Below are 25059 nucleotides of genomic sequence, written 5' to 3' on the forward strand. Positions count from 1 at the left end.
CTTCTTTCCTCTGGGTAGATACCCAGTACTGGGATTGCTGGATGAAATGGTAGTTCTACTTTTAGTTCTTTAAGGAATCTGCACACCGTTTTCCATAGGGGTTGTACTAGTTTACATTCCCACCAGCAGTGCAGAAATGTTCCCTTTTCACCACATCCACGCCAACGTCTATTATTTTTTGATTATGGCCATTCTTGCAGGAGTAAGGTGATATCACACTGTGGTTTTGATTTGCATTTCCCTGATCATTAGTAATGTTGAGCATTTTTTCTTATATTTGTTGGCCATTTGTATGTTTTCTTTTGAGAACTGTCTATTCATATCTTTAGCCCACTTTTTGATGGGATTGTTTGTTTTTTCTTGCTAATTTGTTGGAATATCTCTGGATATTAGTCCTTTGTCAGATGTATAGATTGTGAAGATTTTCTCCCACTATGTGGGTTGTCTGATTACTCTGCTGACTGTTCCTTATGCTGTGCAAAAGCTCTAAAGAGCTTAATTAAGTCCCACCTGTTTACCTTTGTTTTTATTCCATTTGCTTTTGAGTTCTTGATCATGAAATCCTTGCCTAAGCCAACGTCTAGAAGGATTTTTCCAATGTTATCTTCTAGAATTTTTATAGTTTCCAGTCTTAGATTTAAGTCCTTGATCCATCTTGAGTTGATTTTTGTATAAGGTGAGAGATGAGAATCCAGTTTCATTCTCCTACATGTGGCTTCCCAATTATCTCAGCACCATTTGTTGAATGGGGTGTCTTTTCCTCACTTTGTGTTTTTGTTTGCTTTGTCTACGATAACTGGGCTGTAAGTATTTGGGTTTATTTCTGGGTTCTCTATTCTGTTCCATTGGTCTATGTGCCTATTTTTATACCAGTACCATGCTGTTTTGGTGATTATGGCCTTATAGTATAGTTTGAAATTAGGTAATGTGATGCCTCATTTTAGTCTGGCTTTGGCTATGCAGGCTCCTTTTTGGTTCCGTATGAATTTTAGCATTTTTTTTCCAGTTCTGTGAAGAATGATGGTGGGATTTTGATGGGAATTGGCTCTGAATTTGTAGATTGCTTTTTGTGGTATGGTCATTTTCACAATATTGATCCTACCCATCTATGAGCACGGGATGTGTTTCTATTTATTTGTGTCATCTATGAGTTTTTCAGCAATGTTTTGTAGTTTTCTTTGTAGAGATCTTTAACCTCCTTGGTTAGGTATATTCCTAAATATTTTATTTTTTTGCATCTATTGTAAAAGAGGTTGATTTCTTGATTTGATCCCCAGCTTGGTCACTGTTGGTGTATAGCAGACTTATTGATTTGTGTACATTAATTTTGTATCCTGAAACTTTGCTGAATTAATTTATCAGTTCCAGGAGATTTTTGGAGGAGTCTTTAGGGTTTTCTAGGTATATGATCATTTCATCAACAAACAGTGACAGTTTGACTTGCTCTTTACTGATTTGGATGCCCTTTATTTCTTTCTCTTGTCTGATTGCTCCTGCGAGGACTTCCAGTACTATGTTGAATAGAAGTGGTGAGAGTGGGCATTCTTGTCTTGTTCCAGTTCTCAGAGGGAATGCTTTCAACTTTTACCCATTCAGTATTATGTTAGCTGTGGGTTTGTCATAGATGGTTTTTATTGCATTAAGGTGTGTCCCTTATATGCCGATTTTGCTGAGGGTTTTAATCATAAAGCGATGCTGGATTTTGTCAAATGCTTTTTCTGCATCTATTGAGATGATCATGTGATTTTTGTTTTTAACTCTCTTTATGTGGTGTATTACATTTATTGACAACCATCCCTGCATGCCTGGTATGAAACCCACTTGATCATTGGATTATCTTTTTAATATGTTGTTGGATTCTGTTAGCTAGCATTTTGTTAAGGATTTTTTGCATCTATGTTCACCAGGGATATTGGTCTGTAGTTTGTTGTTGTTGTTGTTATGTCCTTTCCTGGTTTTGGTATTAGGGTGATACTGGCTTAATAGAATGATTTAGTGAGGATTCCCTCTTTCTCTATCTTGTTGAATAGTATCAACAGGATTGGTACCAATTTTTCCTTAAATGTCTGGTAGAATTCAGCTGTGAATCCATCTGGTCCTGGACTTTTTTTTTTTTTTGGTAATTTTTTAAATTACCATTTCAATCTCACTGCTTGTTATTGGTCTGTTCAGGGTATCTAATCCTTCCTGATTTAAACTAGGAGGATTGGATCTTTCCAGGAAATTATCCATCTCCTCTAGCTTTTCTAGTTTATGCACATAAAGGTGTTAATAGTAGCCTTGAATGATCTTTTGTATTTCTGTGGTGTCGGTTTTAAAATCTTTCATTTCATTTCTAATTGAGCTTATTTGGATTTTCTCTCTTCTTGGTTAATCTTGCTCGTGGTCTTCTTTTTTTATTTTTTCCAAGAACCAGCTTTTTGTTTCATTTATCTTTTGCTATTTTGTTGTTGTTGTTTCAATTTCATTCAGTTCTGCTCTGATCTTGGTTATTTCCTTTTTTTTCTACTGGGTTTTTGTTTGGTTTGTCCTTGTTTCCCTAGTTCCTTGAGGTGTGACCTTAGATTATTTGTGCTCTTTCAGAGTTTTTGATGTAGGCATTTAGGGTCATGAACTTTCCTCTTAGCACTGCCTTTGCTGTATCCCAGAGGTTTTGATAAGTTGTGTTACTATTACAGTTCAGTTCAAATAATGTTTAAATTTCCATCTTGATTTCATTGTTGACCCAGTGATCCTTCAGGAGCAGGTCATTTTGTTTTCATGTATTTGCATGATTTTGAAGGTTCCTTTTAGAGTTGATTTCCAGTTCTATTCCACTGTGGTTTGAGAAAGTAATTGATATAATTTCAATTTTCTTAAATTCATTGATACTTGTTTTGTGGCCTATCATATGGTTTATCTTGGACAATGTTCCATGTGCTGATGCATAGAATGTATATTCTGTGGTTATTGGGTAGAATGTTCTGTAAACATCTGTTAAGTCCATTTGTTCCAGGATATATTTTAAACTCATTGTTTCTGTGTTGACTTTCTGTCTTGTTGACCTGTGTAGTGCTGTCAGTGGAATATTGAAGTCCCTCACTATTATTGTGTTGCTGTCTACCTCATTTCTTAGATCTAGTAGTAATTGTTTTATAAATTTGGGAGCTCCAGTGTTGGGTGCATATATATTTAAGACTGTAATATTTTTGTGTTGGACAAGGCCTTTTATCATTATATAATGTCCCTCTTTATCTTTTTTAACTGCTGTTGCTTTAAGGTTTGTTTTGTCTGATATAAGTATAGCCACTTCTGTTTGCTTTTAGTGTCTATTTGCATAGAATGTCTATTTCCACCCCTTTACCTTACATTTATGTGAGTCCTTGTGTGCTAGGTGAGTCTCTTGAAGGCAGCAGATACTTGGTTGGTGAATTCTTATCCATTCTGCCATTCTGCATCTTTTAAGCTGAGCATTTAGGCCATTTCCATTCAACATTAGTATTGAGATGTGAGGTAGTATTCCATTCATCATGCTATTTGCTGCCTGTATACCTTGCTTTTTTAATTGTATTTTTGTTTTATAGGTCCTGTAGGATTTATGTTTTAAAGAGGGTCTGTTTTTATGTGTTTCCAGGATTTGTTTCAAGATTTAGAGCTCCTTTTAGCAGTTCTTGTAGTGCTGGCTTGGTAGTGGTGAATTCTTTCAGCATTTGTTTGTCTGAAAAAGACTGTATCTTTCCTTCATGTATGAAGCTTAGTTTCACTGGATACAAAATTCTTAGCCGATAATTGTTTTGTTTAAGGAGGTTGAAGACAGAGCCCCAATCCCTTCTAGTCTGTTCTGTAGGGTTTCTACTGAGAAATCTGCTGTTAATCTGACAGGTTTTCCTGTATATCTTACCTGACTATTTTGCCTCACAGCTCTTAAGATTCTTTCCTTCATCTTGGCTTTAGATAACCTGAAGACAGTGTGCCCAGATGATGATCTTTTTGTGATGAATTTCCCAGGTGTTCTTTGAGCATCTTGTATTTGGATGTCTAGGTCTCTAGCAAGACCAGGGAACTTTTCCACAATTATTCCCCCAAATATGTTTTCCAAACTTTTAGATTTCTCTTCTTCCTCAGGAATGCCAATTATTCTTAGGTTTTGTCACTTAACATAATCTCAAACTTCTCGGAGGCTTTGTTCTTTTTTTCTTATTCTTTTTTCTTTGTCTTTGTTGGATTGGGTTCCTTTGAAAACTTTGTCTTTGAGCTCTGAAGTTCTTTCTTCTGCTTCTTTGATTCTATTCCTGAAACTTTCCAGAACATTTTGCATTTCTCTCAGTGCTCTCCTTTATTTCCTAAAGGGTTGATTTTTATTTATGCTATTCCTTCACTAAAGATTTCTCCCCTCATTTCTTATGTATTTTTTTTATTTCCTTAAATTGGACTTCACCTTTCTCTGGTGGCTCCTTGATTAGCTTAATAACTGACCTTCTGAATTCTTTTTCAGGTAAATCAGGGATTTCTTTTTTGTTTGGTGGTGAGCTAGTGTGATTTTTTGAGGGTGTTAAAGAACCTTGTTTTGTCATGTTACCAGCACTGTTTTTCTGCTTCCTTCTCATTTGGATAGCCTATGTCAGAGGGAAGATCTAGGGCTCAGGGCTGCTGTTCAGATTCGTTTGTCCCATGGGGTGCTCCCTTGATGTAGTACTCTCACCCCTTTCCTAGGGATGTGGCTTCCTGAGAGCCAAACTGTGGTGATTGTTATCTGGATCTAGTCACCCAGCAGGTCTACCAGGCTCTGGGCTGGTACTGGGGATTGTCTGCATAGAGTCCTGTGGTGTGAACCATCTGCAGGTCTCTCAGCCATGGATACCAGCACCTGTTCTGGTGGAGATGGCAGGGGGGTGAAATGGATTCTGTGAAGATCCTTAGTTTTTGTTGTTAATGCACTATTTTTGTGCTGGTTGGCCTCCTGCCAGAAGGTGACACTTTTTGAGAGAGCATCAGTTGTGGTAGTATAGGAAGAACCAGGCTGTGGGTAGGGCCTTAGAACTCTCAAGAGTATATGCCCTTTGTCTTCAGCTACCAGAATGGGTAGGGAAGGACCATGGGGGGAGGGGGGCAGGGCTGTGTGTGTCTGAGCTCAGACTCTCTTTGGGCAGGGCTTGCTATGTCTGCTGTGGGGAATGGGGGTGTGGTTCCCAGGTCAATGGAGCTGTTCCCAGGAGAATTATGGCTGCCTCTGCTGTGTCATGCAAGTTGTCAGGGAAGTGGGGGAAAGCCAGCAGTTACAGGCCTCACCCAGCTCCCACACAACCCAAAAGACCAGTCTCACTCCCACCATGTCCCCCCAAACAGCACCAAGTTTGTTTATAGGCAGTGGGCAGGAAGGGCTGAGAACTTGCCCCAGGCTACCAGACTCCCACTTATGAGAACAAGTAGGGCTTTCACGCCTATCGGCCTGTGGAGTCTGCACACCAGATTCAGGCCCTCCCTTGAGTTCTGGCCAGGAGACTTCCTGTTCAGTTGGAATTGTTACAAGGTTCAGCTGGGGGTTTCCTTCTCCCTGTGGTCTTTTCCCAGTATTTCTGGCAGCCCTCCCCAAGAACACCCATGAGACAACTCTGAAATAGCTTTCTGAGGGTGGAAAACCCACAGGCTTTTCCTGCTGCTTCCTCTACCCCTATATTTTGCTTGGCTCTCTAAATTGACTCAGCTCCAGATAAGGTCAGATCCTTCTCCCATGATCTAGACCTTCAGGTGCCCCAGTGAGGGTGTGTGTTCAGTGACAGACAATCCACCTTTCCCACTTTCACAGCTTGGGCACTCACAATATTTGGACTGTCTCTTGGGTTCTGCAGGAGCAACCTCCTTCCTTCAGAGGGTTTGTGGGTTCTCTCGGCTTTCCTGGTTTATTCCTGCATTAGTTCTGAAGCAAAGGGTGAAGATGCGAGTGTTGAACCTTTGAAATTTTTTTCAAAGGTCCACACAGTGCTCTGTCCAAGTGCGAGCTGCAATCTAGTCTTGCCTTCCGTCTGCCACTTTTCCCCCTCTTTTTTTTTTCTTTTAGGCTACGTTCTTTATTGGTCACCCTCACCGCAAGAATGTGAGAGAGGCACAGTCATCCCTACTTTGTAGATGGGAAACTGAGGCTCTGTGAGGTTAAGTCACTTGCTCATTAAGTGGACGGATGGGGCCACACTCAGAACTGGGATCCTATCCCCCAGTCCAAGCCTTCACTACCACACCAAACCATTCCAGTATTTTGTTGATGCTTCAAATAAAATATGATCTGTGTATGAATAAAAAGATTGGAAGGGGCTGGGTGCGGTGGCTCATGCCTGTAATCCCAGCACTTTGGGAGGCCAAGGCAGGTGGATCACTTGAGGCCAGGAGTTCTAGACCAGCCTGGACAACATGTTGAAACCCCGTCTCTACTAAAAATATAAAAATTAGCCTGACAGGGTGGCGGGTGCCTGTAATTTCAGCTACTTGGGATGCTGAGGCTGGATAATCCCTTGAACCTGGGAAGCAGAAGAGGTTGCAGTGAGCCAAGATTGTGCCACTGCACTCCAGCTTAGGTGACGAAAAGAAAATTGGAAGGAAATTTCACAAACAGAGAAAGACCTTTCTTCTTACTACTTTGAGAAACCTGTGAAGTGAAATCATTGGCTCATGATCACCCATGTCTCCCAAGTAAGTAGAACAAGCTTAGAATTAAATGAGTATTTATTTATGAGAGAATCTCTTCATGACAAAATTGAAGTGACTTTTAAGTTCTTCTTTGCAGATTTTTGTATTCTCCAAATTTCTTACAAAGAGCATGCATCTTATTCATAATTAAAAACAATAAAACATTATTGTTGGAAAGTAGAATGATTTAATAGTACAAGTAAATCTCATCCTAAAATAAAAGGTCATTGAGGTTGGCACAGTGGTTCCAATCAAGGCACTTGTAAAACATAAAGTCTCCTAGGAGGTCGAACCTGATTCCCTAAATGGGGTGGAGGTGCAGGTGCCCATGGGTCTGCATTTGCCACTCTTGCCTTGAGTGAAACTTTCATGCGATGCTGTAATACTCATGCTTGATATTCTGTGACTGATGATTTTGCATCTTGAAATGATGGCCCAAACTAACGGCCACAGTTGATTATGTTCATGCCCTCTCTGTGTTTTCATGGGCATGCAAGAATCATTTTACAAATTCTCCAACCACAAGCCTCAACCTCTATACTTCACTTCCTGCCCAATAGGGATGTCCCACCTAACCACTCCCCACACTGCAGTACTAAAGTCTCTGGCCACATGTTCCTCTCGCTCCTGTGCCTCTGGACCAGCCCCGGTGCTTCCCCGTGTGGCCCTGTGTGGTGGGGCAGGCCCCTTCCTCTTGGGTGCTCAAAGTAATAAACTCTTCTTTCAAAGGCAGATGTCTCTGTCTGTCACCTTACCATACCCAGTGGAAATGATTTCAAAACAAAATGTGAGGTACATTTAAAAACAAATGCGAAGGATTGGCATTTCAAAAAACAGAGCTGGGACCTCAGCAAGTTGATAGAAAATGTCCCACGGCTGTTTTTGTATCTGCTTGCCAATGCAAGTCTGAGTGGGCACCAGGTTGCCACCTAAGCTTGCTTTCACTGTAAAGTGCCACTGGAAGCAAGGCTGTCGGAGGGATGCTGACAGCCGTCACCCACTGCTGACTACTTGGGGTTCCTCATAGTTTCTGGAAAAAACTAGTTGTGAACAGCAAGTGTCATTAGTCACTTCTTCACACCTACTATCTCCTTTGTGCTACTGTAGGACATCTTCTTGCCTACTCTGCAGGAGGCTGGAGCCATGTCTGAGCAGGTATGTTCCTTCCTGGGAAGGATGCCTGGCTTCTCCACTGTGGCCTTTATAATGGAGAGCCTGAGGGAAGAGCATTGTGTATAAAACAAACCTTGCTTCAGGCAGCGTTGCGGGAGCCCTTCATAACTGGCCATTGGTCCTTGTTCTAAGCCAGCACAGGAAGGCCCTGTGGCTTAGGTTAGTTGTTTTTACTCTTTGAGTGTCAGCTCTTCTGTTTTTGTTTTTTGTTTGTTTGTTTGTTTTTGTTGTTTTGAGACAGGGCCTTGCTCTGTTGCCCAAGCTGGAGTGCAGTGGCAGCTTGTTCTGTTTGTGAAATAAAGTGGGAGCGTGAGGGCCAGGGGGTTAGGTTCCCCTGGGACTTCTGCCAGCTCTCCAGCATAACTCCTTTCTGTTTTGTTTCTTTCCTTATAAAATAGCATGAGAAAGCCTACATGAGGCCCCTGGCACATCCGAGGTGTGTGGGGCACCGGGGCCCCCAGAAGAGGAGCCTTTGGATCTGATGGGAGCAAGGGCTCTACTGAGGCTGCCAGAGATGCCCTCGGTAATGGGGGTGACATAGAGGTGCCAGCACAGCCTGTCAGGCAACGAGGGAAGGAGGGACGGTGGGTCTGACTCAAAGGACACGAGCTGCCTTTGCTGTAGTGCAACCGTGGCCCATTGCTCATTGTGCTGCTCTCAGGACTCAGAGTATGGAAGCGGGACCATTGCCGTTACAAACCCGCAGGGAAGGGGCTGAGCACCCGGAGGGCTGTGTGTGCACACATGACGTTATCGGAGTCAGGAAGGCAGCCAGCCGCGAGGAGATGGGAAACTGGTCCACGGCACCCGGGGAGACCTTCACAGCCCACGCATTAGCCCTCGTCAGCCGGTGTCCCGGCGCTCCCCACAAACCCAGACTCTCTCCTTGGCTAACAATGGCCTCCACCAGCCGACCTCTTTGAGCCTCTGTGTTCTCATTTCTTCCATCTGCCACACATGATGCCACAAGGTCCCTGCTCTGTCTCTCCAACATGCCACTCATTCCTGACTCACAGCCTTCATGCTCACACCCCTCCCTTGTCCTATCCTCACTCTCAGTCATCCTGTTCAATGCCTTCATGGCACTTATCATAAGCTCTTACGATCATGTTTATAGGTCTGGTTTCATTGTTGCTGTAGGGGGGTCTGTCTCCCCCATTTAGGCCTAACAGGCCAGGAATCTTGTCTGTCTGATTTACTCCTAACATATGTTAAGTGTTCAATAAATTTTTGCTGAATAAATGAAGGAAAAAAATCATGCAGCCTCTGAGATGTCATGGGATGACAGCCCAGCCATCGCGAGTTCGCTAGTAAATCATTTTCAGATTAGGACTCTGTTGACAGATGAATTCATATTTTAGTTTTATTGAATGTGTTATTGTAATTCTGCAATAGAGGTGCCTAACCTGGGTTGGCGTATTTCCATTCCTGGGAGCCCCAAGGAATGGAAATATGGTAACCCAGCAACATCCCATGAAGCTAGTTACCTGGGAGAATTTGTGGAAAAGGGCACTGACTGGGGTTAATGGGTGTTGGCTTGTGACTGGGGTCCCTGTTGATGGTTTGGTGATTGAGCCTTGGAAGTGGCATCCCTGCCAGCGAATCCAGCTCCACTGGGGTCAAATGCACCCTCAGAACAGAAAGAGGGATGTGGTTTGTTATTTCTTGTGCATTAGCAATGTGCCATCAGTTAACAGGCCATTTCCCACCTAGGATTTAGTGGGATTTTCCACTTTCCCTAGAAAGAGAATACCGTCTGTGGCTTTATTTGTAATCATCATCAGGAAGGTCCTATTGAAGGAGACAGTGAAGTAAGAGGGGCCATCCTTCGATCGGACTATGAACTTGGTGGTGGTAGCTGCTGTGGCCTCAGTGCCCTCTTCACTGACATCCAGCACAGCCTTGTGGGTTGCCTGCCAAGGGAAAAACAAACATCAGTGGCCCTAGTGGAGACACTTTTACTTAACTGAGTAAACTAAACTGAGTGCTTTTGCCCTGGAATGGTGATGTCTACCTTGAAAGGATTCAAGGTTCAAATGCCTGGCATTGGGTTTACTCAATACATTGCAGTGGGTGTTGACTATGGCCCATTGGTCCTTACACCGGGATTGAGATGGTTACAAACACAGAGCAGGAAGACCGGAGTGAGTCTCAGTTCTGCCACTTATGGTTGCAAAATTATTAAGATGCTGCGTGCTTCAGGTTCCCGATCTATAAAAGGTAATAATAACTGCATATGCCCCGTAAGGTTATTGTGTAAATTAAGAGAGATCATACAAAGCAAGTGCTTGTGGACTTGCCAGCAGTAGTAATTGCTGCAGTTCTTGCATGGCAGACATGGGTTTGATATGACTAAGGTTAGATCCCTTCTTTGTCTTCTAGGGAAGAGATTCTTAACCTGGAGTTCCTGGATTTCTAAGCTTCAGGGAGGCTTGAGCTCCTGTGACTACAGGCATTATTTTTCATAGGCTCACAGATACACTTTCCTCGAGAAAATGTCCATTATGTTCATCATATTCCAGTGGGGCCTCTCAACATTTTCTGAAAACCAATGACAAAGGTCCCCTTCAGTGGCCCCAGGATCACTTCTATTATAATCCACTATCAAAATAAAATTTTAGGTCAGGGATCAGTAACCCATATGTGTGCAGGGGCTAGGCAGGTAACCCCAATTAACTGACGGAGACTTCTTGTAAGAGCATGGGGTGCCCACATTACCTGGAGGATACTGTCTGGTTAAAAGGGGCACTCATAGCTCAGCTCCTGTGATGGCTGCCATGTGGACACATAGGCTCACTGTTGCCATGTGGGAATTAGAGTTAGTGATTTATTTCAAGAGGATCAGAAATCTAGACTTTTAGATCTAATATACTATGCTTTAAAACTCCTCTCTCTCTCTCTCTCTCTCTCTCTCTCTCTCTCTCTCTCTCTCTCTCCTTACACACTGAAGGCCAGACAACACATCTACAGGGTGCAGATGACCTATGGGCAGCCACACTGTGATGCCTGTGTGAGGGCCTAAACTTCAGGGAGGAAGAAAGTGAGGTCAGATCCTGAGGGAGCACTTGCTCTCCTGCAGCAGGCATGGGGGAGCACCTGACTGCTGAGGATGGCTTCGGAACATTTGTGTGAAGAGGGATAACAGATGCTGCATGCCAGAGGGATGGTGGCCATAGGCCGCAAGATTCGGTTCTTCTGGCCGCAGAAGACCCTGACTTCACCTTTCAGGCCTCTGTTTCCTTATCAACGAAATAAGAGCATGTGATTAATTCTGCAGGTGCTTCCAGCTTGGACTTTTTTGCAAATATTTTCATTCAACTCACTTTAGAAACCTGCAGGGAGTCTCTCTTTGCAATTCCAGAAAAATCAGCATTTTTGTCAAAGACATTTTGGATGCCCATCTTCGGGAGGATGGTTTCCAGATTGTAGGAGGCAGAAATGGAAAATCTGGGGATGAACACCTCTATCCACCTGTGGAGTAGGGAAAAGGAAACAATGAGGTCACAAGCCCATGGTGTCTGCATCTCTGCTCCTAGATGCCATTTTGGGAGACTCCGTTCTTCCTCCAACCACTGCTAATTTCTGCTAAAAAGGTCAACACATCCTAGCCAAGAAACCCAGGTTGCTCTTGAAATAAGCCTCCCAGCTGAGCAGGTCCAGCACTAAAAACATGCAAGGAGATAGACGAGCCCCCAGTGAAGTGGGTGCAGAGGTGAAAAAGCAGTCAGCAAGGGAGTCTATGGCAGAAACCAACAGGAGACGTCCAGTAGCAATGGAAGCTCATCAACCACCCACTCACTGTCCGGAATACCTCCTCAGCAGCACTTCCTGATGCAAGCCCTGCTAATAATGCCCTAGAGCAGCAAAGTCCAGCAGAACTTCCTGTGATGCTGGGAAGATCCTAGACCTGCACTCTCCAGTACGGTAGCCATTAGCCATGTGTGGCTACTGAGCAACTTAAACAGTGGCTTGTGCAAATGAGAAACTAAAATGTTAATTTTACTACATTTCAGTTAACTTAAGTGTAAATTACTGCAGGTGGCTTAGCGGCTACTATATTGAACAGCACCACCTGATAATTTAGCACAATATTTTTTTTCCTCTGCAATGGTTTCCCTGAACCAAGAGTAAACAGCCCACATGTGTTGAACTTCTTTTTTTTAAGATGGAGTCTCACTCTGTCGCTCAGGCTGGAGTGCAATGGCACAGTCTCTGCTCACTGCAACCTCCACCCCGTGGGTTCAAGTGTTTCTCCTGCCTCAGCCTCCCAAGTAGCTGGGATTACAGGTGTACGTGGCCATGCCCGGCTAATTTTTTTGTATTTTAGTAGAGACAGGGTTTCACCGTGTTGCCCAGGCTGGTCTTGAACTCCTGAGCTCAGGCAATCCACCCGCCTCGGCTTCCCAAAGTGCTAGGATTACAGGCGTGAGTCCAGCCTGAACATTTATTATATGCCAGACATTGTCCCAGGCACATTCAACAACACTTCCCCCTTTTAAAGACGGTAAAGCTTACTTTTAGTGCTTTGCCCAAGGTTATGTACTTAGTGACTCACAGCAACGAAAGCACAAAAATATTGGATGGACACATTTCAGTCCTCATCTGACAGGTGTCTTGTGACCCCTCATGCCAGGGACAGCTCTCTTTTCCCTGCCACTGTCCTCTTTCCCTGTTTTCTCTGTGCTCCATCTGCTGCTCTGTACTCTGTCCCTCCCTCCCTGAAATTCTGTGCCACCTCCTCTTCCTATCCCCAGCCCCAGATGCAGCCTGAGAAGAGAAGAAATCGCTGACACACCCTGCAGCATCTCTTCATCCTTAACTTTGAGTTTTTGCCAGTGCTGTGTCCTCTACCAAAGCTGCCCTTGCCAAGCCTCTGTGTGCTCATATGCTACCCACATGTGCAGCTAAACCCCACCGCCTCCTTGAAGCTGTCCCTCAGTCCCAGCTGAAAGTGATCTCTCTCTGCTCAGAAACTCCTCAGCACCTTTCCTGCCCTCCCGTGGGGCATTGCCCAATCTCTTTCTTGAATTCCAGTTACACTGCAGCCTTCCTTCTCTCTTCCCAGACTATGAGCACCAGGGAACGCTGCTAAAATCATTCTAAGATGCCAAAAATATATTGCTAAGAGACAGAACATAAAACGTGGACATTCCTTTTTTATCTCATGATTAATCTTTTTGCTATTCTCCATATTTTTTGTACTCACCATACTAATTACAGAACTAATAATAACATTATTAGCTAGCATTTACTGAACACTTACTATCTTCTAGGAATTCTTCTAAGCACTTTGTAAGTAGCAGGTTACTTTACCTTTTCACCAACCTTTGGATTTGGTAATATTGTTATCCTCTTTCTTATATGTGACCACCAATGCTTTTGTTTGCTAGCTTTTATGGGATCATTCCATAGATTTCAATATCAGATAGGCTTCTAGAGCCAGCTCTGCAAGCATATAACAGCTACATGACCTTGGGCAATTCACTTACCCCTTGGAGCCTCCATTTCCTCATCTGTGTAATGAGTGGTACTAAGACTCCTCATCAGGTGATAGTGAACTTCAAGTGTGAACATGTATAGACAGCCCCAGGCTCTCTGTCCTGCATGCAGTTGGTGCTCACTGTGCAGAAGTGATTATCCAACAGCTGTTAGCACAATCTCTCCCTCATCTTTGAATGTGTGCATCCCCTGCCTCAGGGCCCAGGAGATTGACACAGATGCCCACCTTTTCTGGAGTGAGTGGCTCCACTTTCTCAGTGTTCTGGCTGACAAGGCCTGTTCCAGTTGCCTCATCTTGCCCTTGCTAGGGAGGACAAAGAAGGCCACGGCATCTCCCTTGTAATCCATCTGCAGCACAAAGCAGTTCAGCTCTGTATCCACCCCAAAAGCGAACTGCTCTTTCTGGTGCATCATGGGGACATGCACAGTGACCTGCTCGCCCACCAGGAATGGGAAGTTCTTTCTTGTATATTCAGGGTGAAAGGGCTTCTCCCACTTGGCTAGCACAAAGAGAGAAAAGAAGTCTTTATGTCAAAGTACAATTAGTGAGGCAAAGACAGCAAACTGAAATGGGGAATTACTTCTAGTGGGTATGAGGTTTCTTTTTGAGGTGACAAAAAAATGCTCTGATATTACACAGCGGAGTAGTTGCCCAAACTTGTGAATATACTAAAAAGCAATAAAATGGTGAATTTTATGACATGTGAATTGTATTTCAATTAAAAATAGAATTAGTTAAATAGAACAACATAAACTGAAGGTAACTTAGTAAGGGCTCAAACCATACCAGTTTTCTTTCCTTCTCTTTCCTCTTTGCAGGATGGATGGATAAATGGGTGGATAGCCTGGCAGATGGAGGGTGGATGGATAGATGAATAGCTAATGGATAAATGGTTGGCTGGCTGGGTGGATAGATGGATTAATGGATGAATGGATGGATGGATGAACCGATAGAGGGATAGATAGATGAATAGATTAGTGGATAGGTGGTTGGCTAGCTAGATGGCTAGCTAGGTGGATGAATGGATGCATGGATGGATGGATGGATGGATGGATGGATGGATAGATGGATGAACTGATGGATGGATAAATGGGTGGATAGTTTGCTGGATGGGTAGATGAAGGGTGGAGGGATGAACAGGTTAATGGATAAATGGTTGGCTGTCTGGGTGGATAGATGGATGTATGCATGGATTCATGGATGAATGACAGATGGATAAATGGGTGGATAGTTTGGTGAATGGGCAGATATAGGGTGGATAGATACATGAATAGATTAATGGACAGGTGGTTGGCTAGCTAGGTGGATGAATGGATGCATGGATGGATGGATGAACTGATGGATGGACAAATGGATGGATAGCTTGGTGAATGGGTAGATGGATAGATGAATACGTTAATGGATAGATGGCTGGCTGGTTGGTTAGGCGCATGCCTGGATGGATGGACAGATAAACTAGTGCATGGATAAATGAGTGAACATGTGGATGAAGGGAGGGAGGAAGGAAGGGAAGGAGAGGGACAGAGGAAGGGAGGGATGATACGGTGGCATCCATGAAAACTCTGCCTGGAGATGCCAGGCACTTCTATCTCAAGCACAACCTATAAAGTTGGCTTTATCATCAGAGTATCCAGTCAGCACAGAGACTGGCACAGGTCAGGCACTCAACACATGGTAAATCTTTTAGAGACACATGCTGAGGATCATAGAGCAAGTATGGGGTAGAGGTGAAATTCAAATTCAAGTTGTTTGACTTTAAAGCTGATGTGCATTCCCTGCAATACAGTGAAACTGTAAAGCTCTAACATATATCTACATCTATATCTATATCTATATGCAGTTATATATGAAGGAGACTTCATATATATAAGGGATACGAATGACAGGCACATCAGCTTGTCTACATTTCTACACCTATGAAAGTGTTCACACTCTTGGATTTGCTTCTTAAACTGGGTTGTCAGAGAGTTCCATGTTTCTTTCTAAAACTTTCAAGGGGCAGTGGGACAGCTGCTGGTGGCAAGAGATCTTTTCTCTCAAGTAGTCTCCAGATTTTTCCTGTGGGTTTCCCACTGAGTCAAATGTAAACACACCTCAAGACACTTAATCTGTCTACCCAAAGAGAACTAAATGAGTCCCTACTGTAACTGGTAAACATGAGCTATCCTAGGTCCTGCAGCCAGCTAATTGCAAAGCTAATTAGAGCTCAGGCCCTCCCATTTCTCCACCCTGCAGTCTAGGGTTTGTCTGGCTTGTGTATTTCACTAAGCAAAAATCATCATCATCATCATAAAATAAATAAATAAAAATCAACTTCTCAAATCCTTACCTTTAAAGAAAATGTGGTTCACCAGAACCATGGCCGTCAGAAGGTCAAGGCCTTGGATTATGTCTACAACCTTCCCTTGGGTCTTCTTTTTCACATGGCTGTTGATCCTCGCCTGGGCAATGGAGGGGTTGGAGAAATCTGTAGAAAAGACTTCTGCTTCATACAGCCTCTTGACATTGCCCAAGAAATTTGCCTGCAGCTGCAGCTCCTTCTTGACGAAGAGGGCACTTCCCATCTTCAAGGTCAGGTCTTTGCTGGGAACAGTCAGTGAGTGAACCAGGTGCTGGAAGCCCTGGTGGATGGCAGACTCTGGTGTGTGTGTGAGGTTGAAGCCCAGGCCCTGGAGAATCTGGGTCTTGGTGACTGAGTGGGCCCCAAGGGAGAGCATGGCCAGGGAAGTGGAGACACTCACAGGGGAGAAGAAGATGTTCTGACTCGGGGTCTCCAAAACCAGCCTGCGGTATAGGCGGAAGGCAAAGTCGGTGTTGAGGGAATACACCTGTGAGGCAGGGGTGCTCTTTGTGGAGGAAGGGCGGGGGTATGCACTGGGGGCATTGGCCGGGGACACACAGTAGATTGGAGCACAGAGGCCAACAGCAAAGAGTACTCCATAAAGGTAAGATGCCATTTTGGAACAAAATATGTCTGCAAGAGAAGTAAGAACCATTGAGGGGGTAAACTGAGGGTCCAGGCCCTGAATCAGAGACCCTTTAACACCCCCACGCCATCAGCAGCAGAATGAGGACAGATAGGCCAGTTAGCAGAGCTCTCTCACATAATCTCTGAGCCTCACAATATTCCCATGATGTAGATCTTATTATTGCTGTTTTACTTGCAAATGAGTAAACAGGCCACAGAGAGTCTGTGCAACTTACCCCAAATAGCATGGTTGACTTGTCTGTGTTCTGTGTGGGCTTCAAAGTCAGGTCTCAAATTCCAAATCCCATGCTTTTTGATGTTTCTGCTTCATGGACTTATTTTTTAAGAATTGAGTATGTGAACCCAGATTGCATTAGCAGCCAGAAGTGGTTTCTCACCCTTTGGAGGTCCCTCCACACATTCTTTATCCATTTTGTGTAGATCTGATTATTTTCTCACCCTGGCTGCCTGTTCCCAGACACAGGCATTTTACTAATGTGTTCATATCTCTCAAAAAGTGGAAACCTGGAGCAAAAGGCTGTCCTTTTTGCTGTGCTCCTTCAGGTGCCCTGAGCACTGGCAGTCAGTTGCTGATGAGCTGCAGTTCTAGTCACATCTGTCTGCTTCCCCTTCAAGCCTCAGCTGACATGGCTTTGGCCCCAAGGAGACTTCAGACTAAATGACCTGATAGCAATTTCAAACCCCAACAGGGCTGGGCTTGAATCTAACCCTGACATTCGTGGTGGACAAGTAACCTCTCTGGACTTCTCTGTTTTGCCTTTGTAAAACAGAGATAGTTACCTTACAGAGTTGTTCAGAGGACTGAGTGTGATAAGGCACAAATTGTGCAGCACGGGACCCAGCACATGGTGAGCGCTGAATACATTACTTTTACTGTTGTTTTGTTGAAGTCAGAGAGAATTTGATTGGAGCAACTCTATCAAGTACTGCTCACAGGTCTCCCCAGCCCTGCCTACAGCACCCTCACCTGTTCAGTTTCATCAGAAAGATTTCATTTCCTTTAACACAACTTTACAGAGGAGCTCCAACCCTGTGCGTTGACCCTGAGATACAACAGTAAGTGGTCATTTTAGAGAAGGAAGGTGTATGAATCCAATGCAAGGCCAGGGGAGGTCTGTGCTCAGCCAGAGGGGAAAGCAAAGCAGGTGTGTGCTCCAATAGGTCACATCCGTCTGAAGGCTTTTCTCTTCTCACAAATTTTATAATTTCCCCCCCATGACCTGGATGTCCTTCCCCCCATCATCCTTTTCACAAGCACAGTGCCTTCATAATCCCCCTTGCCCTTCATCAGACTTTGCTCTTTAGTCATTTATACTACAGTGTGAATGGCTGCCACCAACTCTTCTCCTAGGAGCACCGGCATGAAGTGTTACTCCTGATTGTGAAGGAAAGACTTTACCCACTGGAACAAGAATTCAGTCAATAAGTGAACAATTATTTTGCCAGAAATGGAGAAGGAAAAGATAAGAGAACCTTTGCCAAAAGCGACAAAAATATTGCCACACATAGTCACTTGTCTATGTCAGACCAAGCATAATGTGACAGCCACATTCCCAACAATTTCTCTGTGGAAATGAAATATGTAAATGAATCACATTTTATTATACCAGATATAATTTAACTTAGATGGAACTTTATAAAGAACCCTTTTACTGAATGAGTAATTCTTTTGCAAACCTGTTCATTTCTCTCCATTTCCACTTATGTGATTGGCGATTTCTGTTGTGTAGTTTTGTATTTGCCTGTTTGACTAAAGTGGAATTTTCTTTCTAAGTTACATTCGCATCCATCCATCCACCTACTGGACTCTTTGCCAACCTGTTCTGAACTGACCTCCAGAGCTGCCCCCACCCTGAGTGCCCCATCTCTCCCTTTCTCCAAGAAGGCCATTTTACCCATGCTGCCATCTTCCAAGTCAGGAGACTGATGGCCACTCTGCACTCTTCGGCCACCCTCCTTCCCCACATCGTTCTTCCTCCCCGAGACATCGCAAGCCCCAGCTTCTCTCCATCTCTTTGCTTTTCCCTTGGTCCAAACCCTCCTTATCTCTCCCCTGGACAATCCTGAAGGCTTCTGGACTCATCTCCCTCCTCTGGTCATGCTTCCTCAAAACGTTTTTCTTAAGAAACTTCACCAATTTGACTCTGCACAGAGACGATCTACTGGGAGATAGAAGTGTTGGGGCTACAATGGGGGACAGATAGCCAGGGTCCTGGCTCTTAAAGAGTTCTCTGGGAACCCTATGACATGTGGCCTTGAGAGTTGACTGCTTCCCCTCTCTTCGGCCCCACTGCTGGCCAGTGAATTTATCTGCAGCCTCTGCAGTCAACACCAATAGCAACAGCCCAGGGTCCACCTCCCTCCCTTCTCTTCCCACTCACCTACCCCTTGCTCAGGCATAGCATACTCTGCTACAAATGCCCCTCCTGGATGCCACCTTCCTTTGCTAATGGAAAAGCCCTTGTTTCTCACTCTGGAAGACTCTACTTAGCTATTACCGGCTTGAGAGGCCCTCCCTGGCTCCCCTCTCCTGTTGTGACTTCATCACTCTCTCCCTTCTCTCTTCTGGCACTTCTGAAATTTACTCGACTTCTATTACCAAATGGATTATCACTGACCACACGCGTGCCTTTAGATAATCTCTAGGTTCTTTGAATGTGTAATTTATGCATTTGGTCCATTGGGTTGAACATGTACGCTTATTATGCAGGTACTATAGGAGGTGTTGGGGCTACAATGAGGGACAGAGAGACAGGGTCCTTGTTCTTAAGGAGCCCACTGGGAAGACAGACAATTAGCAAACACCACTAGACACAAGAAGTGTGTGTGTGTGATGAGTAAGTACAGGCATTGGGAACACCTATTCCATAACAAGAAAGGCTTCCAGTGGAAGTGGCAGCTGATTGAAACTTGAAAAATGTTAGCAAGGTAAAAGGGAAAAGCAGAGAAGAGAGAGATTCAGGCTGGGAGGACCACCTGTGCAAGGGCCCAGAGGGAACCAGAGCCAGGCAGCTTTGAGGAACAGAAAAGGTTCTGACACAGATTTCAGCACCACAGAAGCCGGCAGGAAGGGCTGGGGAGCAGGAGAGACCAGCTGCCGAGAGAGGGGGCCCCATGCAGGGATGTGCGGACTTGGTTCTGTGCCCTGGAACCCACTGGGGGATGGCTGCAGAGAACCTCAGCAGCAGAGAATTCTCAAGACTATCCCTGCACCTGTCTGTGTTCCTCATTGCTCTACACACCTGCTTCCTGTCCTCCTTCCCCCTTCCCCCACCAGCACGGAAAAGTGCCCAATGTATGGGCTCAGTAGACACTTGGTGTGCTGCCCTGAGATGGAGAAGCATTTACACCAGCCTCAGAACTGGGGTGGTGGCTGGGCGCGGTGGCTCACGCCTGTAATCCTAGCACTTTCGAGGCAGGTGGATCACCTGAGATCAGGAGTTCCAGACCAGCCTGGCCAACGTGGCAAAACCCCATCTCTACTAAAAATGCAAAAGTTAGCCAGGCTTGGTGGCGGGCACCTCTAGTCCCAGCTACTCCGGAGGCTGAGACAGGAGAATCACTTGAACCCGGGAGGCGGAAGTTGCAGTGAGTCGAGATCAGGCCATTGCACTCCAGCCTGGGCAACAAGAGTGAAACTCTGTCTCAAAAAAAAAAAAAAAAAAAAAGCAACAACAACAAAAAACCAGGGAGGTGAAATGAAGGAGGCCTCCTGGAATATAAGACTGAAACCCTGAGTTTCTCTTATTTGATGAGCTCTGTGACAGACTGGGGCTCTTCAGGACGCCGTGTAAGAGTGTGGCATCTGCAGGCTTCCCTGTGACAAGCTGGGGTCTACTGTGTTAACTTGGGGTCTGCAGGCCCTCTAGCCTCAATGGTGAAGTGGCAGCACTTGATCTTGACGGCCACTCAGAAGTCAGAGCCTAAGCAAGATCATGGTTCCCCTCCTAACCTCAGAGCAGTACTTTCTGTTTAGAGAACAGCATTGTCCTCGAATTGCTTCATCTTCTGAATTGCGTCAACCCTGATCTGTAAGGAGGGCAGTTCTGAGGAAGGGCGAGACAACGTCTGCAGAACGCCCAGTGCGGCATCCAGCCCATGGTGGGCAGGAGACCAAAGCTGCATCTCTCTTGTGGCTCTTATGATTTTGTGTCCCTCCCTTGGAATCAGGGTGAAGGAATAGGATTGTCCCTGGCTATTCATGACCATGGGAGAGGAGACCAGGTTGAAGGAAGAGGACATCAGCCACATGGAGGGGAAGCGGGTGCTGCCAGGCGCCAGGATGCCACAAGCACCAGGGGTCTGTGCCCCTTTCTGTGGAGGCTGGCAGTGGGGCAGGTGGCTCTCAGGGGGCCCCCACTGACGCTGGGTTGTGCCTCCTAAAGAATCCGCATTCCCATCAGCAGAGGTGGCCTATTAGACGCGGCCTCCACGCCCCAAGTCTTGTTTCTTTTGGGCTTGGGTTGAGTAGGGGAGACCCACCTGAAGTCGGGGAGTTGGCTAGTAAATGTCCTGAGTCATCGATGGTACTGGCCTCCATGTGACTTCAGGTAAGTCTCTGCTTTTCACAAGACTTCAGGAAGAGGTGGTCTCAAAAGGCCCTCTCTTCTGAGTCTGGGATCTATGTCTGAGGGCCCCCAGGTCATTGCTCTCTTGGGGGAAAACCGTGGCCAAAGCTCATTCAGTCAGCTCTTAAAATCCACCACACTCCCCACTTTGCTTCTCCCCACCCTGAACTCCTGTCCTCCTGTGGCCACCCCTTCTCTCTCCCAGCCCTGCCAAGGCCCTTGCCCCTCTTTTGGCTGTGGCCCGGGTTTATGTGAGCGTTCGGCCAGGGGGCACTGCTCGTTGGGGTGACAGGGACACTCTGCCGTCCCCAGGGCTTGCCTCTTCTGGACCTCTCCCTCCCAGCTACCACAGCCTGCATTCCACCTTCCATTGTCTCTCACTCACTCCCATCTCCAAGCGCTCCTCCACCCTGCAGACAGGGTGACCTTTCCAGATGCTGATCTGGTGTATCACTCACCTCACCTCGAATTCCTCAATGGCTCCCCATTGAGCTCAGAAAAAATGCTCAAGCCCCTGACATTCAAGAGCTTTATTTATTGGGCCCTGACTCACCTCCCCAGCTGCATCTTTGAGGACCCAGCTGTTTGCATTCCTCAATTCCACCCCATCCCCTATCTTCGTTTGCCTCTTTATCCAGCTTGGGTGTCAAGGGCTTCATTTTAATCTACTGTGCTTCACCCCCAGGCCTGTGTCTTCATGTCCCAGCCCTGTGGCAAGGCTCCATGTGTGGTAGAACCTACCTGTCTGCTCCTTCCCTGCCAAGTGCTGCTGGAAGAGGGGTTCTGCAAGGCAGCCTCGTCCACTGTGGGTTCCCAACCACCAGCCTTTATCCACCCGGCAACATGTAACTCATCAGCTCACTCTCCCATTTTCAGGGAAAAGCTTCACCTTTTCCATGTCCTTAACCTTTTTATTCCAGGGTGGAATGGATGCCCACCCTGCTACATGTGTGCTACATATGCATGTGTGCCTACATGTGCACACACACACACACATACACACACACACACACACACACACACTGAGCAGACAACCTTGCCTCCTATCTCACATAAAAGAGAGATCCTATGAAAAGGAATTGTCTCAACTTCCCTCAAAGGGCATCCTCTCTGCCTATCCCTACTTTCCCAGTCGCCCCTCTCTCTCCCCTACACCTCCACTCCACCAATAAAGCAGAGGATCGGCCCTCCTTTGAGGTCCAGTCCCCCTTCCTGGGCCTTAGAAAGTATCTCTTCTCTCCATCTCAGGACCCTTCCACCTCTCTTTTCTGCACTTAAACACTCCCTCTCAAGCTGATCCTTGCTGTTAGTTTGGAAACTGTTCAAGTCTTGCTCGTTAAGACAAAGAAACCAACAACGACACAACAACAAAAACACTCCTTTCACCCTCTCATTTGCTTCTAGCAGCTGCCCTATTTCAATACTCCTCCCCTTGTGGCCCAAATTTTCAAGAGCTGTGTATTCATGGTCTCTGTGGCCTTACCTCCAACTCACTCACTGGTCCACTCCAGCCTGGCTTCTGTATCCACAAAAATGTGACCCAGATGCTACTAAAAGCCAACTAATGTGTCTAGGTTCTCATCTTATTTGACTTCCCAGCTGCATTTGACACTGAAGACCATGCTCTGATCCAGTCCTTCCCTCTGGCTCAGTGACACCACATTCCCGATCTCTCTGCACCTCCTCCTTACCCACCTTTGCAGGTTCCTCTTCTCCTGCCCTGTCCTTGCATGGTTGGTGAGCCCTGACACTTGCTTACTTGGTTGTAGCTCTCTCCTCACTTTAATCTCTCCTCTCCCTCCAGCTGATCTCATGCCACGACACCCATGACTTCATTACTAAGACATGCAAATGATATATTATTTTTATTCTCCAGCTAGACATGCAAATGATATATTATTTTTATTCTCCAGCTCAATCCTTTCCTCTGATCTCTACATGTCTAACTTCCTACTTGATATCTCCTCCTGATGTTGCAAATAAACCTTACATGCAATATGAACCACAGTGAACTCAGACTCCTTCCCAAGAACCATCTCCCAGCAACAGCCACAACCGAAACCTCTTTTCAACATTTCTGTCACTGGGTCCACCATTCACCTGGTTAGTTGAGCCTAGGAGGGGCATCCTTGCACTTCCTTCTTCTTCATGTCAACTTATGCCCAGTTTTGTCAACTTTACCTCCTGAATGTTGCTCAAGTCCATCCACTTTTCTCTGCCTCCACTCTAGCAGGCCAGTTGGGCTGTCATTGTGTCTTGCCTGGGCTACCACAGAGCTTCCTAACAGCTCTCTCTGCATACCCTGTCCTGCTCCTCCAATTCACTCTGCACATGACAGCTAGAATAGTCTTTTAAAACTCAAACCTGACTGTGTCACTTAGTATTTAAAATGTCTCAATTGCCTCCCGTTTCCCAAAGTAAACACTGAAGTCTTAACTTGCATTGCCTGGCCTCTGCGGGCTCCTCTAAGTTCATCACAGATCATGAAGCCCCTTGCCCTTGACATCCATGTTAGCCCATTCTGCTGATTTTTTTTTTTATGCTCACATGTGATATTTGTTGTTTCCTACTCCTGGAATATCCTTCCAACTCTCTTCATCTGACTTTTCCCCTAATTAATTTTTATTCATTATTTAGGCCCTAGTTTGTGTGATTTCCTCAAGGAAACTCTCTTTGACCACTGAAATAAGAAAACTTTCTCCCAGCAGCTATTTTTATAGTACCATCAACTTCTCAGTGAAACACTTATCACTGTCATAGTTTCACATTTATTTGTGTGACTGAACAATTCATGAATCAGGGATCCTGTCTACCTTAATTTTGTCTACTTGTGCACCCACTCTTTGGCCAATACTCACGGTTCAGTAAGTGGTTGCTAAAAGAATAAATGAATTGAAATAAAATGAAATAATCCATTTATCTTTGAAGAGTAATCCTGACTGGTAATAAGCAAGGGGAACTCAGGGTGATGGAAAGTCCTGTAGCTACTTAAGGTAAAGTTACACAGGTATATATGTAAAGTTTGAGTTGACTTACACTTTTGGCCAAAACAAAGTAACTGATATTGGTTGCAAACTGTTGTAAACAGAAAACTAGACAAAATTTATGACACTATTGAGATACTCGAAAAATACATATAACAATTCAGACATTAGAGAACAGGCAGGGAAGGTAAAAAATGAGATAAGCTCTACAATTGTCCCAATTTTCTGCCTAAGGATACTTTCTGGACGTGTGGAAGAAAACCCAAGGAGGGCATGGGAGGCTTGCTGAGCTTAGGAGACAGACATTAGAGTTTGAGAAAACTGAGGAAGCTATAATTTGTGCAGTGAAGTACTAGAGGAGAGCTTTAGAAATGTTCATAGGGGTCTCTTTAAGTCCAAAGCTAAGTACTAAGCTCTGCATGCATAAAGTGAAATTCCACATGGCTGGTCCACACACACACACACACACACACACACACACACACACACACACACACACGAAAAAATAAACCTACTGTGAAGGTATAAGCAAAATAATTTCCAGAGTTCACAAAGCATAGGATATATTAAGGTTATGCACCCAAAGTGGAGAGACCTGGAACATTCAGTAGAGACCCAGAAGTGTCACATCTTGGCATTAGGGCTAAACTAACTTTGAATTAAAGCTGCACTAGACCCACCCTAACAAAGTTTAAAAACATGCCTTGACAAGCTCAAACAGATCTGTAAGTAACGTATTGCCTGTTAAAACAAATGTCAAACACTGTAAAGGAAGACAACAAAATTGTAATATTATGATGTCCAGCATCCAATTAAAAATTGCTAGACCTTCTAGGACTAGGAAAATGTGACCCATGACCAGAAGAAAAATTAAGCAATATAAACAGGCTCAGACATAATAGAGATTAAGGAATTTGTAGACAAGGACTTTAAAACAGTTACTTAAAATATGCTTAAATAATAAAAATGTTACTGTAATGTGGGAAAAATCAAACTTCTAGAGATGAAAAACTTAATATCTGAAATGAAAAATTCACTGGCTGGGTTTAACAGCAAATTTAGTACTATAGAAGAAAAGATCTGTGATCTTGAAAACATATCAATAGGAACTATTCAAACTGAAGACAGCAAGCTGGAAAATAATAATAATAAAAAACAAGTCCCAGTGACTTGTGGGACAACATC

General features: G+C 44.8%; 1 protein-coding gene and 1 long non-coding RNA gene across 10 annotated transcripts, besides 1 other annotated feature; one reads left to right on the forward strand and one right to left on the reverse strand.

The window, feature by feature from the left end:
• The first annotated feature begins 6455 nt into the window (after positions 1-6455).
• On the forward strand, positions 6456-9092 carry LOC105370635 (uncharacterized). The gene is made up of 3 exons (XR_944169.3): positions 6456-6663; positions 7768-7815; positions 8232-9092. It is a non-coding gene; the product is annotated as an uncharacterized LOC105370635 (long non-coding RNA).
• Positions 9093-9170: 78 nt separating this feature from the next.
• Positions 9171-22647, reverse strand: SERPINA9 (serpin family A member 9). Of its 9 annotated transcripts, none has more exons than NM_001042518.2 (6): positions 22586-22647; positions 16075-16307; positions 15663-15774; positions 13559-13832; positions 11157-11304; positions 9171-9746 (listed from the first exon to the last, which is right to left on the reverse strand). In NM_001042518.2, exons 2-6 carry the CDS (start codon positions 16288-16290, stop codon positions 9543-9545), a joined length of 954 nt encoding a protein of 317 aa, NP_001035983.2. In that variant the 5' UTR covers positions 16291-16307; positions 22586-22647; the 3' UTR covers positions 9171-9542. The 9 variants fall into 9 exon arrangements, with proteins under 9 accessions (NP_001035983.2, NP_001271205.1, XP_011535017.1 ...); NM_001284276.2 differs by lacking the exon at positions 16075-16307 and adding an exon at positions 16538-16635 and having other exon boundaries at positions 15663-15916; XM_011536715.3 differs by adding an exon at positions 16538-16635 and having other exon boundaries at positions 15663-16307.
• Positions 20111-20863: an enhancer, noted in NCBI's record as "H3K27ac-H3K4me1 hESC enhancer chr14:94939998-94940750 (GRCh37/hg19 assembly coordinates)". NCBI's record gives its function as "activates a minimal SCP1, AML or CMV promoter by ChIP-STARR-seq in primed H9 embryonic stem cells {active_cell/tissue: H9 hESC(primed)}" and the evidence as "EXISTENCE:reporter gene assay evidence [ECO:0000049][PMID:30033119]".
• Positions 22648-25059: the final 2412 nt, after the last annotated feature.

Source organism: Homo sapiens, chromosome 14, assembly GCF_000001405.40.
Source record: "Homo sapiens chromosome 14, GRCh38.p14 Primary Assembly".
Taxonomy (NCBI): domain Eukaryota; kingdom Metazoa; phylum Chordata; class Mammalia; order Primates; family Hominidae; genus Homo; species Homo sapiens.